This window comes from Homo sapiens, chromosome 3 (genome assembly GCF_000001405.40).
Source record: "Homo sapiens chromosome 3, GRCh38.p14 Primary Assembly".
Lineage (NCBI taxonomy): Eukaryota > Metazoa > Chordata > Mammalia > Primates > Hominidae > Homo > Homo sapiens.
Genome location: NC_000003.12, coordinates 138,735,132 through 138,749,690, shown reverse-complemented (window position 1 = coordinate 138,749,690; position 14,559 = coordinate 138,735,132). Strand labels below are relative to the sequence as shown.

The window sequence follows — 14,559 nt, the reverse complement described above, 5'->3', positions numbered from 1 at the left end:
AAGGAAAAAACAAAAAGAAATGGCACATGTGAAGAATGGCCTATTCAAGGAAAAGAAATTGATTATGGGTGGTGTAGGGGGACAGATAGGACAACTAGGAAAGACTAGAGAGGCAGCCATCTGCAGAGCATACAGTGCCATCCAGGCCATGTAAAAAGTAGAGCTTTACTACTAAGAACACTTGGGAAGCTATTGAAGAAATATAGGTAGGGGAGTAACGTGATAAATTTGCATTTTAGAAAGATTATTTAGGTTGTAGAATGAAGAGTGGATTGGAGGGATTAAGAATTTGAATAGAGAAATTAGTGAAAAAATGTTGTAACCCAAAGGAAGGGTGATGATGGCCAGGATTAGGTTAATGTTTACAGGAATTGAGAGAAGTGGACAGAGTTGAGAGACATTTAGAAGGTGGGTTAAACATGATTTGTAGCAGATTAAGGGAAATAAAGCATTTGATTTTTGTTAGATGTATATATTATTGGGTACTTATTTCCCTTTCGTCACCTGTAATACCTATTGCCTGTGAATAGAATGAATATTAACAGTGCACTAAAATGCTTCAGCCATTCCACCCAAATTACAGTCCATTCATAGCTAATTTAGAGTAATGTATTTTATTCCAGATCTAAAACTATCCAGGAAATCATTTTACCTTTGCTGTGTTATACCTTTGCTGTGTTTTATTTTTCTATATTTAATACCACAAAATTGATTCTAGGATATATTTTTGAAATAACAACTATTGTTTTCAGTGCATAAAAGTAAAAAGACAATGCAACCCTTACTGACATGCATATGTTCAAATAGTATAGTATAGATTAATTTTATGGAATAAAAAGTAACTTTCCTCACTGTGCATTCCTCCCTAATACTACAAAATACCACTAGCAATAGAGTCATCTCAAGTATCCAAAACAAAAACTTATGCATATTCTGTATTCTTCCTTTTGAATTTTCAGAAAAGGGATTTTACCTGACCCATTCTCTACCTACTTTTAAAAAATATCTGGTGCCCTTAAAAACACAAAGATTGATTGTATTTTTATCTCCTGCACCACTGTATAATGATACATGGATGTATCTTTATTTAACCAGTCCTGAATGATGGCCTTTAGATTACATTTTAATTATTATACACAAAACTGCAGCAAATATTCATATATTGATAGTATATCCATAGGTTTGTAGAAATAAACAAAGACCACTCAGATGAGAACAGAGACTATTTATGCAGAGGTTGCTATAGTAAAAGAACTTGAGCTTGGCAGAGACTCAGAGGCAGGCAGGGGAGTGGGAAAGCTTTACAGTGAAAAAAAAGGGAAGGTTTCAGAGATGCCTGATGGGAAATTATTGGCAGCAGGGAGCTGGAGGTGGGCTAATTAGAAGCAAGGCATCTTATGTGATTGGTGTTGGGTTAGTATACTTGGCTTTCTTCGTTGGTCCTGAATCTCTCAGGTTGAGATTACGATTGATAAAATTGTGAGGTCTAAGGATGTGTGTGTGTGTGTGTGTGTGTGTGTGTGTGTGTGTGTGTATGATTTCTAATAAATATTGCAAAATTGCCCTCCAAAAAGTTCATATTAATGTAGTTTCTCAACAAAACTATACTAGAATGCCTTTTTCTCTCTGCCCCTTCCAGCACAGGGTATTATCAAATTTTAAAATATGTGCCAACCTGATAGGTAAAAATAAATGCACACATAAACATTTATGTATGTTGATTCATTCTTTTAGATTTCTAAAATTATTTACTGGAATAATCATAAGTTTTTGAAAAAGTTGTCATATATAATTGTCTTAATGGCAGAAGTGACTAAAAATTAAGTACAACCCATCCTTCAGCAATAGGTTTGAACTGTGCAGGGCCACTTATACGTGGATATTTTTTAATACGTATATTGAAACTTTTTTTGAGATTTGTGACAATTTGAAAAAACTTGCAGACGAATCACAGCCTAGAAATAGTGAAAAAATTAAAAAGTTAAGTGTCATTAATGCATGATATGTATGTATCATTTACTACCATAAAATACACATAAATCTATTATAAAAAGTTAAAATTTCAAAACTTACATACACAGACATTTAGACAACCATACATGGTGCCATTTGCAGTTGAAAGAAGTGCAAACAAATGTAAAGATACAGTATTAAATCATAACTGCATAAAATTAACTGTATTATACTACTGTAATAATTTTGCAGCCACCTCCTGTTGCTATTGTGGTGAGGTTAAGTGTTGTGAGCATATGCTCAGAAATGCCATGTGACTCTAATCATCTCCACTTGAGCAGTTTCTCTGTCTAGTAAATTGCATATTGCAGTAAAAAGGGATCTCTCCGAGTTCTCATGTATTTTTTAAATTGTGTTTACTGGAATACTGCAAACCTTGAATAACACTGTGGGACCCATACAAAATGCTACTTGTGATCCTGGAAGTACTTCTAAGAACAGAGAAAAGTCATGATATTATAAGAAAAAAGTTGAATGCAGCTGGGTGCACAGGCTGAGGCAAGAGGATTGCTTAAGCCCAGGAGTTCTAGGTACTAGTGTGCTGTGATTGTGCCTGCAAATGCCATATATATATATATATATATATATATATATATATATATATATATATATATATATATATAAAGGCTGAATAGCTTGATATGTACTGTAGATGGAGGTCTGCAGCTGTGGTTGCCTGCCATTTCGAGATAAATCAATCCAGTATAAGTACCATTGTGAAAAAACAAATTCATGAAACTGTCGCCGCAGCTATGTCAGCAGGTGCTAAACCTTGCACTTTTTGTGAATCACCTTTTTATCTCAGAGTAAAAATGCAGCTTGTATGTGGGTGCAGGATTGCTATAAGAAAGGCATACCAATAGACTCTAATCTGATTCAAGAAAAGGCAAAGTTATGTGACAAAGCAATAAGAAACTGAAGGATCTAGTACAGGAGAATTTTAATGCTAGCAAAGGATGGTTTGACAATTTTATTTTTATTTATTTTTATTTTTAATTAATTAATTTATTTATTTTTGAGACGGAGTCTCACTCTGTCACCCAGGCTGGAGTGCAGTGGCGTGATCTCGGCTCACTGCAAGCTCCACCTCCCAGGTTCATGCCATTCTCCTGCCTCAGCCTCCCGAGGAGCTGGGACTACAGGTCCCCGCCACCACTCTTGGCTAATTTTTTTGTATTTTTAGTAGAGATGGGGTTTCACCATGTTAGCCAGGATGGTCTCAATCTCCTGACCTCGTGATCCGCCCTCCTCGGCCTCCCAAAGTGCTGGGATTACAGGCGTGAGCCACCGTGCCCGGCCGATTTGACAATTTTAGAAAGGTTTGGCATAAAAAAAATCAAGGTAACAGGAGAAGTTATTTTTCCTGACCTAGAAATAGCAGATGAGTTCCCAGATGCCATTAAGAAAAATCACTGAGGAGAATAGATACCTGCCTGAACAGATTTTTAGTGTTTTGTTTTTGAGACAAGATCTCACTCTGTTGCCCAGGCTGTATCCTTGCCCTCCTGGGCTCAAGTGATCCTCCCACCTCAGCCTCCTGAGTAGCTGGGACTACAGGCATGCACCACCATGCCCAGCTAATTTTTAATTTTTTATAGAGATGAGGTCTCACTATGTTGCCCAGGCTGGTCTCGAACCCCTGACCTCAAGGAATCCTCCCACCTCGGCCTCCCAAAATGTTGGGATTATAGGTGTGAGCTGCCTTGTCTGACCCTGAACAAGTTTTTAATGCAGATCAAAGTGCCCAATTCTGGAGAAAAAAAATGCCACAAAGGTCATTTATTAGGAAGAGAAGTCAGCACCAGGATTTAAGACAGGAAGGCTAACTACTGTTTTGTGCAAATGCAGACTAGTTTGTGATACACTTTATTTGTAAAGCTGCTAACCCCCAAGCCTCGAAGGGAAAAAGAAACACCAGCTGCCAGTCTTTTGGTTGTACAACAAGAAGACCTGGACAATAAGAACCCTTTTTCTGGATTGGTTCCATCACTGCTTTGTTCTGAAGTCAGGAACTACTTTGCCAGTAAGGGGCTGCCTTTTTTTTTGAGATGGGGTCTCACTTCATCGCCCAGGCTGCAGTGCAGGGGTGCGATCTTGGCTTACTGCAACCTCCGCCTCCTGGGTTCAAGCGATTCTCCTGCCTCAGCCCCCCAAGTAGCTGAGATTACAGGCACACACCACCATGTCTGGCTAATTTTTGTGTTTTTAATAGAGATGGGGTTTCCCCATGTTGGCCAGGCTGGTCTTGAACTCCTGACCTCAAGTGATCCCCCCACCTTGGCCTCCCAAAGTGCTAGGATGACAGGAGGATTATAGGTGTGAGCCACTGTGCCCAGCCTAGGGACTGCCTTTTAAGGTTCTTTTGATATTGGATGATGCCCGTGGCCACCCAGAACCCCCTGAGTTCAACACTGAAAGCCTCAAAGTGATTTACTTACCCCCAAACACAACATCTCTAATTTAGCCTATCAGGAGGTCATAAGGACCTTTAAGGCTCATTACTCATGGTACTCTATGAAAGAGAACCTGGATAGAACATCATGAAAGTCTGGGAGTATTACACCACTGAAGATGCCATCGTTCATATAGAAAAAGTTGTGAAAGCTATCAAACCCAAAACAGTAAATTCCTGTTGGAGAAATCTCTGTCCCGATATTGTACATGACTTCACAGGATTGACAACAGAACCAATCAAGGAAATTAAGAAATAGATTGTGGTATGGCATAAAAGGCAGCAGTGGTGGTGAAGGGTTTCAAGATACAGATCGTGGAGAAATCCAAGAGCTAATAAACACCACATGAGAGGAATTAACAGAAAACAACTTCATGGAGATGAGTGCTTCTGAAGCAGTGCCAGATGATGAGGAAGAAGATGTAGAAGAAACAGTGCCCGAAAACAAATTCACATGCAACAGTCTGACAGAAGGCTTCTGATTATTCAAGAATGCTTTTTACTTCTTTTATAATATGGCCCCTTCTATGATACCAGCACTGAAACTAAAGCAAACAGTGGTAGGATTGGTACTATACAGATAAACATTTTTACAGAAAAGAAAAAGCAAAGAAGTCAGAAATTATGATGTATATCTGTGAAGTTACATACAGTATGCCTGCGTCTGCTGCCTCCCCTTGTACCTCCTTCACTCTTCTGTGTCTGCCACCCCTGAGACAGCAAGACTAACCTCTCCCCCTCCTCCTCAGCCTACTCAGTGTGAAGATGATGAGTTATGAAGACATTTATGGTGATCCACTTCCTTTTTTTTTTTTTTTTTTTTTTTTTTTTTTGGGGGAGTCTCGCTCTGTCACCCAGTCTGGAGTGCAGTGACACAATCTCGGCTGACTGCCAGCTCCGCCTCCCGGGTTCACGCCATTCTCCTGCCTCAGCCTCCCGAGTAGCTGGGACTTCAGGCACCCACCACCACGCCTGGCTAATGTTTTTTGTATTTTTAGTAGAGATGGGGTTTCTCCATGTTGGTAAGGCTGGTCTCGAACTCCTGACCTCAGGTGATCCACCCGCCTCAGCCTCCCAAAGTGCTGGGATTACAGGCGTGAGCCACTGCGCCCGACCAATCCACTTCCTCTTAATAAATAGTAAATATATTTTCACTTCTTTGTGATTTATTTAATAACATTTTCTTTTTTTCTAATCAGAAGAGTGCTGGAATAATTAACATTTTCTTTAGCTTACTTTAGGAATACAGTATATAACATGTATAACATACAAAATAAGTGTTAACTGACTATGTTGTTGGTAAGGCTTCTGGTCATAAGTAGGCTATTAGTAGTTAAGTTGTTCAGGAGTCAAAAGGGACATGTAGGCCGGGCATGGTGACTCACACTTGTAATCCCAGCACTTTGTCAGACTGAGGTGGGAGGATTGCTTGAGCCCAGGAGTTCAAGACAACTTGGACAATATAGCAAGACCTCATGTCTACTAAAAATTTATCCAGACATAGTGGCATGTGCTTGTGACTGTAATTTCAGCTACTTGGGAGGCTGAGGTGGGAGGATCGCTTGAGCCCAGGAGATGAAGGCTACAGTGAGCCGTGATCACACCACTGCACTCCAGCCTGGGTAACAGAGCAAGATTCTGTCTCAGTGAATGAATGAATGAATGAATGAATGTTATATGTGAATTTTCTCCTCTGTAGGGGGTTGGTGCCCCATCCACCATGTTGTTTGAGAATCAACCAAACAATAAAGAACAATTTTATGTTTATGGGATTTTTGACTAACTAAAACAATATATGATAACCATTTAAAAATCACAATGAACTGAAAATTCAGTCTATAAAATTTAAGTGTACTAGGTTTTCTTTGGTTTGTTTTTGTTTTTTTAAAGACTATGAACAGTTTTAGGTTCACAGCAAAATTGAGAGGAAGATACAGAGATTTTCCGTATTCCCTCTGCCCCTGTGTATTGTAGCCATTCCCATAGTATACCAAGTTTTGGTGAAATAATAACTTGATTCTTAGTTTTCTTCTAATATAGTATTGAAACTGTTTTTCAGATTCTTAGTCTTTCTCACATATTTTAAATGTGATTTATTAATACTTGGTTTGTAAATAAAAACAATGAATCTTTTATGTGTGGCTTTAAAATATGTATTGTGAATTACTTTGTAAAACTGGTAGGCAAACTACATTTCTTTATGAGGTTTTGAGTTGTATTTTTTAAAAAAATATAATTGTATGTTTGTCTTCTGTACATGAGATTTATTGTTTTATCTGGGTTTTTTGATCTTTAATGGTATTTTCCTCCCTAGTTTCATCTGCTTGATAAAAGCCAAGCATCCAACATCCAAGTTAGTTTTTGTTGAATATACTTTGTATTCTTTCTATATTCTTTTATTATTGTTAGTTACTGAAAATGACACCTTTAAAAAATGTGTTTAGGTCTGCATGAATTTGATTCCTTGAAGGATCCTGAAGTAAATGAATTTCGAAGAAAAATGCGCAAATTCAGCGAGGAAAAAATCCTGTCACTTGTGGGATTGTCTTGGATGGACTGGCTAAAACAAACATATCCACCAGAGCATGAACCATCCATCCCTGAAAACTTAGAAGATAAACTTTATGGGGGAAAGCTCATCGTAGCTGTTCATTTTGAAAACTGCCAGGTAGGATTATATTTTTTTAAGAAATATTTTGTAATAAATTTCTCATTTTTACCCGAATACAACTGCATTTTTAGAAGTGTCTGTCGCTTGCCTAGCAAACACTATTAGAAAGAACAATTTTATATTTCAGATAGAAATGTATTTAGGATTATATATAATAGTCTAAAGTGATATTCTGTACACGTATCTGTTTTGATACAGTGGAATGGTGATTTAGAATGGGATTGGCAAACTGGACTGTTTAATTGGTTTTTACAGTTTTAAAGGGATGTTAAAAAGAGAAAAAAACCTCAAAGATTTGTAAAGGGATGTTTAAAAGAAGAAGAAGTAAAAAGAATATGCAACAGAGACCACTGTGTTGTATGTTGTTTGCCAAACCTGGTCCTTTACAGAGAAAGTTTGCCAGTTGCTGGTCTAGATAGTGTTCCTTATTGGAAATATTTTTTTCTCATGTGACTTTTCTCCCCCATCGGTAGAAATGAAAGCCTAATCAAAATGGTCTCTTTGTTTCCATATTCTTAAATTTGCATTCTGTGACTATGTGAATTAATTAATGATATGGAAGTAGGCATTATAATAGAGTTGATATACAGCCCATCCATTTCTGAATGTTCATAGCAATTATACAAACTAGATGATGCTACTACTGTTGTATCAAGTATAGTGGTTCTAGCATCTAGGGTCTGGCATTAGATTAAGGTAGAAACTCAAGGATTTTTTTTTTTTTTTTTAGACGGAGTCTTGCTCTGTTGCCCAGGCTGGAGTGCGATGGCGCAATCTTGGCTCCCTGCAACCTCAGCCCCCCAGTCTCAAGCAATTCTCTTGCCGCAGCTTCCTGAGTAGCTGGAATTACAGGCGCCTGCCATCACACCTGGCTAATTTTTGTATTTTTAGTAGAGATGGGGTTTCATCATGTTGGCAGGCTAGTCTCAAACTTCTGACCTCAGATGATCCACCCACCTCAGCTTCCCAAAGTGCTGGGATTACAAGCATGAGCCACTGCACACAGCCAGATGTTTTGTTTTGTTTTGTTCTTGAATTACTGTGAATAACCATAGCAATGACAACAACCAATTATGCAGGGTAAGTGCTCAATGACTTAACAGTCGTTGTTCTGTGTTGAGCACTTATTCTGCATAATTCCTGGTATGGCTTATTTTTCATATATTCTCCAGTTCCCACACCAACCTTACAAGCGTTGTTGTCTTTCCCCCATCTTACAGTGAAGAGACTGAAAGGAAGACAAGTTTAGTGTTTTGTGCCAGTCCTCATAGCTGGTCAGTGGTAGAGCCAGGATTTCATCCAGGTGTCTCTGGTTTTACCCAGTTTTGCCTCCTTTTAGACAACATGTTAATAAGTATTTGTTAGGACAGATGTGAAAAAAAGATTCTGCCTTCAGGCATTTTCTCTAAACAAGTAAGTTTATCTAGGGAAAAACACCATTTGTCATTCTGTCCTGAGATACGTTGAGTCTAAAGTTCAATTTAAGTCAAGATTTGAGTATCATTAAAATGTCAAGGTCAAATTTACAATACTGTTTAAGGAATTCTCCGTGGTCAAGAGAGGTAGAATAGGGGAATTTACTGTTGAAAGGTGATGAGAGTTCAACTTGAGAACACTGGCTTTACCAGGTGAGGTGGCGCACAGCCACTTTGGGAGGCTGAACAGGGAGGATCTCTTGAACCCAGGAGTTCAAGACCAGGTTGGGCAACATGGTGAAACCCCATCTGTACAAAAATTACCTGGGCATGGTGGTGCACATCTGTAGTCCCAGCTACCCAGGAGGATGAGGTGGGAGGATTGCTTGATCCCAGAAGGCGGAGTTTGCAGCGAGCCCAGATTGCGCCACCACACTTCAGCTTGGGCGACAGAGGGATACCTTGTCTCAAAAAAAAAAGGTACAATATTTCATGAAGTCATTGAAAGTGATAATGAACAACTGCTTGAAATATGGGAAAACTATTAGGATATAAGATCATTGGTGTCTTACTGGGAGGTGAGGTCAAGGAGGAAAGAGGAGGCATGCGACTTCTCAAAATGATTCCTAGCATCCTAGCCTGTGTTCTTTGATGTGTGTGACACTGTCTTAGTCTGTTTGGGCTGCTGTAACAGAATACCATAGACTGGGTGGCTTATAAACAACAGAAATTTATTTCTCACAATTGTAGGGTTTTTTGTTTGTTTTGTTCTGTTTTGTTTTGAGACGGAGTTTCACTTTGTCGTCCAGGCTGCAGTGCAGTAGCATGAGCTAGGCTCACTGCAACTGCCCCGTTTCAGGTTCAAGGGATTCCCTGACTCAGCTTCCTGAGTAGCTGGGACTATAGACAGGCACCACCACGCCATGCTAATTTTTTGTATTTTTAGTAGAGGCAGGGTTTCACTGTGTTTGCCAGGCTGGTCTTGAACTCCTGAGCTTAAGTGATCCACCCGCTTTGGCCTCCCAAGGTGCTGGGATTACAGGTGTGAGCCACTGCACCTGGCCTGTTTCTCACAATTCTGGAAGCTGGGAAGTCCAAGATCAAGGCACCAGTTCATTCCGTGTCTTATGAGGATTGCTTCCTGGTGCATACATAACTATCTTCTTGCTATGTCCTTACGTAGCAGAAGAGGAGAGGAAGCTCTCTGGGGTCTCTTTTATTTTTTTTTTTTTTATTTTTTGAGATGGAGTCTCACTCTGACACCAGGCTGGAGTGCAGTGGCACGATCTCGGCTCACTGCAACTTCCAACTCCCTGGTTCAGGGATTCTCCTGCCTCAGCCTCCCGAGTAGCTGGGACTACAGGCAGGGGCCACCATGCCTGGCTAATTTTTTATATTTTTAGTAGAGGCAGGGTTTCACCGTGTTTGCCAGGCTGGTCTTGAGCTCCTGAGCTTAAGTGATCCGCCCGCCTCGGCCTCCCAAGATGCTGGGATTATAGGTGTGATCCACTGCACCTGGCCTGTTTCTCAGAATTCTGAAAGCTGGGAAGTACTAGATCAAGGCACTAGTTCATTATGAGGGATTGCTTCCTGGTCCATACGTACCTGTCTTCTTGCTATGTCCTTACATGGCAGAAGAGGAGATGAAGCTCTCTGGGGTCTTTTTTATTTATTTTATTTTATTTTATTTATTTTTTTGAGTCGGAGTCTCGCTCTGTCGCCAGGCTGGAGTGCAGTGACACAATCTCAGCTCACTACAACCTCCGACTCCCTGGTTCAAGTGATTCTCCTGCCTAGCCTCCCAAGTAGCTGGGACTACAGGCATGCACCACCATGCCCAGCTAATTTTTGTATTTTTAGTAGAGACAGGGTTTCACCATGTTGGCCAGGCTGGTCATGATCTCCTGACCTCATTATCTGCCCACCTCGGCCTCCCAAAGTGCTGGGATTACAGATGTAAGCCAGCGTGCACGGCCTCTGGGGTCTCTTTTATAAGGACACTAATCCCATTCATGAGGACTCTGCCCTCATGACCTAATCACATCCCAAAGTTTTCACTTCCAAATATCATCACATTAGAGATTAGGTTTCTACATATGAATTCGCCAGGGGAGACACAAACATTCAGTCTATGGCAGGCACCAACTCATAGAAAACACAGAAGAACAAGTAAAATACTGGAAAAAATAGATGTGAAATAGTAAGTTTAGTTTTTAAAAGTTTGAATGTAAGACATCTTAAATTCAGGGGAGTGATTTATTTAAATTAAATTAGTGGAAAATATTATGGAATTGATGTCAGGTCAGTATAGAGAATAGCAATAAGTTAGTTGTTCAGAGTAGCAGTTGGTTGCTTTGGGAGATAGCTTCTTATATCTTTAGTATATGATCATATAATGAAAAATTACCTTGCTAGATTATGAGAGGATTCAGGTGTTAACTGTATCATTCAGTCTTATGATGAACAGATTTGGTAATGCTATATCGATTCCAAACTATATCTTCATTTTTAATTGATTAGAATTTCTATATGTTTCTATTTACATGTCTCTAAAATTGGACGTAATTGCTAATTTATGGTTTAATTCGTATAAAGTATGGCTGTCTTCTTACCAGTGAGAAATGTGTAAGTTTTTAAAAATATATATACAAAATATAGCTGCAGTATGTGGCCGGGCATGGTGGCTCGTGCCTGTAATCCCAGCACTTTGGGAGGCTGAGGCAGGCGGATCACAAGGTCAGGAGTTTGAGACTAGCCTGGACAACATGGTGAAACCCTGTCTCTACTAAAGATACAAAAAATTAGCCAGGCGTGGTGGTGCACGCCTGTAATCCTAGCTCCTCAGGAGGCTGAGACAGGAGAATTGCTTGAACCTGGGAGACAGAGGTTGCAGTGAGCCAAGATCGAGCCATTGCGCTCCAGCCTGGGGGACAGTGTGAGACTCTGTCTCAAAAAAAAAAAGATGAGATGTTCATTGGAAAATGCCTAATGGTAACCTTTAGTTAAATATTAATCTTACCTGTGGAAGCTGTGCACTATGAATACAGTAAGATGACTTTCAAATTATCAGAAATCTTTATCTTTCAGTAAACTTGTCTACATTCTAAATATGCATCCATATAAAATTTGTTAAGGATGTACCCATATAAATATTATGTACATTTGTACATATTATTACATAATGATTGTAATGTGATTTTTCAGCATAAATATAACATTTACTGCTTTTTTCCCCATCTCCCTCCCCCTTCAGGACGTGTTTAGCTTTCAAGTGTCTCCTAATATGAATCCTATCAAAGTAAATGAATTGGCAATCCAAAAACGTTTGACTATTCATGGGAAGGAAGATGAAGTTAGCCCCTATGATTATGTGTTGCAAGTCAGCGGGAGAGTAGAATATGTTTTTGGTGATCATCCACTAATTCAGTTCCAGGTATGTATATTAACTATTAATTTACCAGAAAAGTCTATGAGTATATATATATATATATATATTTTATTTCTGACTTTAAAAATGTGTTCCCACACTGGAACATTTGGAATATACAGAAAATTATACAGTATTAAATAGTAAATATTCATAATAGTACTTACCTCTGAGATAATCATTGTTACCCTTTTGGCATGTTTTTGTCACTTTTTGCAGTTATGTTTGTATTTTAGCATAATGATTGTACAGACAAATATGTGTATGTATATGTTTGTATTCTGCTTTGCTTTTTTTTTTTTTTTTTTTTTTTTTTTTGAGACAGAGTGTTGCTCTGTCGCCTAGGCTGGAGTGCAGTGGCATGCAGTCTTGGCTCACTGCAACCTTCATCTCCCAGGTTCAAGCAATTCTTGTGCCTCAGCCACCCGAGTAGTTGGGATTACAGGTGTGCGCCACCATGCCCAGCTTCTTTTTGTATTTTTAGTAGAGATGGGGTTTCACCATCTTGGCCAAGCTGGTCTCAAATTCCTGGCCTCAAGTGATCCGCCCAACTTGCTTGGCCTTTCCAAGTGCTGAGATTACAGCCATAAGCCACTGTGCCCGGCTCATTCGGCTGTTTTGATTGTTTTAGTTAGCCTTATAATTATTGTCTTATATCATTATGAATTTTTTTAACACTTATAGCTGCTTTCTATTTCATCATATAGTATAAACGTGAAATATTCTGGGGGAGGTAAAGTATTTAAAAATCGATTAAATGGTCATCCATTGAATTGTATAAAAACTTATTTGTGATTATCCATTAGCTAACTAAAGGAAAACTTTTCAATTCCAGTCTGAAATATTTATGCGTGGAATTTCCCTTGCCCCTTTTTTGTTACTTCCATGAATGGCAAGAATTTTGCAGGCATTAGGTTTGACCATTCTCAAAAGCCTTTATTAATCATTCGGGTATTTATTTATTTTCATTTAATTAAGAATTCTTTGAGAATATGCTTCTATACGGCACTGAATTGCCCCAGATTATTTTTGGAGTAAAGTGGAGTTTAAATATGCTATGTGCAGTGCAGCACCCCTCTCCCTATAAGGTATACTGTTTAAAGACTAGGTCCTTGGCTTTGCCTTCAAGTAACTTGAAGATGTTTTTGTTGAAATATCTTGGAGACTAAAAAATAGTCATTATGTAAGGAATATTATTATAAGTGCCCAGTTAGAGGTTAGTAGTTACAGAATTTTAGGAAAGTCTTGTTATTTTGTGATATTATTGTTGTTGTTGTTTAAACAAGAGGGGTATAGGCATGCCAATTATAAAGTAATATGTGTTTGAGAATATGGAGCTGCAATTTATTAGCAGATAACATGATGTTACACCTCTTCTCAGGTTTCTGGTGTGGCCCTCAATTTTTGTGGTTTAGTACATATAAGGTCCAGGAGCAGTTATAACTTATGTGCACAGCTTTGGGAGTTGTGGTATTCTGATAGTAAGCTGTTGAACTCTAGTCCATAAGAAGAAACAAGATGAAAAATGCTTGGTGGGCAACATAGAAGTACTGACTTTTCTTCATGTTCTGCCATCATTCAAGTAGATTTCTGTTTCTTTAATTTAACATTTCTTTTTACCTTAAGAGGTGTAAAGGAGAATGTATATTTTACCAGCATTATCCTCTATTATTATAAAGAAAAACAGAAGCATGTATGTGTTTTTGTGCAGGGTTAGACAGGAGAGACCCTGTACAAAAGAGAGAGAGAGAGAGAATATACAGTGTAGGCAAAGGAATGTGAGAGAAATGGATCTTTCATAGTGAAAAGTTTTTGGATGAATATATTTATCATAATATCATATATAACTTCTGAGAGACATTCTGGAAGTTTTTTTTCTCTGACAAAAATGTATTTTTAATGGTTCTGAATTGAATTACGATACATTGAATCACACTCTGGATCTGTATAGGAAATTCATTCTTCTGAGGAATACATTGGATTCCTATTCACTTTGTTAGGAATCTTTGGTAATATGAATAATCACCCCTTTTCTTATATGCCTCTGGAGAGTCATTCTAGTTTTGTGAAAATAGAACATCAAACTGGGATGATCGGTAGGTTTTTGATGGGAAGACGGCTGGTAATACTTGCCTAGAGCTCTGTGATGGAAAGGGGCCATCTCAGGGATCCATAGAAAGTGTGAATCTGCCACATGCGAACCACGTATTCAGCTTTTCTAGCCAAGCTGAAAGTATGGCTGAAGTATGACTTTAGTGTTAGACAAATGGGTTTAAATCTAGGTTTTACAGATACTAGGTGTGCAACTTAACCCTTCTGAGTTTCATTTCTTTAATATGTTAAATGAGTGTAATGAGATTAGCTGTAACATACAATAATCATCTAACTCATTTCTTTAGGTACTTAGGTGTTCAGTTAATGATAGCTATTTTTTGTATTGTGATTTAAAATTCTCATATGCTTAGGCTGGGCTTGGTGGCTCACACCTGTAATCCTAGCACTTTGGGAGGTCAAGGTAGGCAGATCACTTCAGCTCAGGAGTTCAAGACCAGCCTGGGTAACATGGCAAAACCCTGTCTCT

The 14,559-nt window shown here is 38.7% G+C and overlaps 1 protein-coding gene across 13 annotated transcripts in view; it reads left to right on the top strand.

Moving 5' to 3' along the window:
- PIK3CB (phosphatidylinositol-4,5-bisphosphate 3-kinase catalytic subunit beta) overlaps positions 1-14,559 on the top strand; it is a 182,231-nt gene that overhangs the window by 85,238 nt on the left and 82,434 nt on the right. For all 13 annotated transcript variants that reach the window (NM_001437290.1, NM_001437286.1, NM_001437289.1 and 10 more), the window contains 2 exons: positions 6,910-7,133; positions 11,805-11,984. In NM_001437290.1, coding sequence (NP_001424219.1) covers positions 6,910-7,133; positions 11,805-11,984 — 404 coding nt within the window. The remainder of the gene's footprint in view (positions 1-6,909; positions 7,134-11,804; positions 11,985-14,559) is intronic.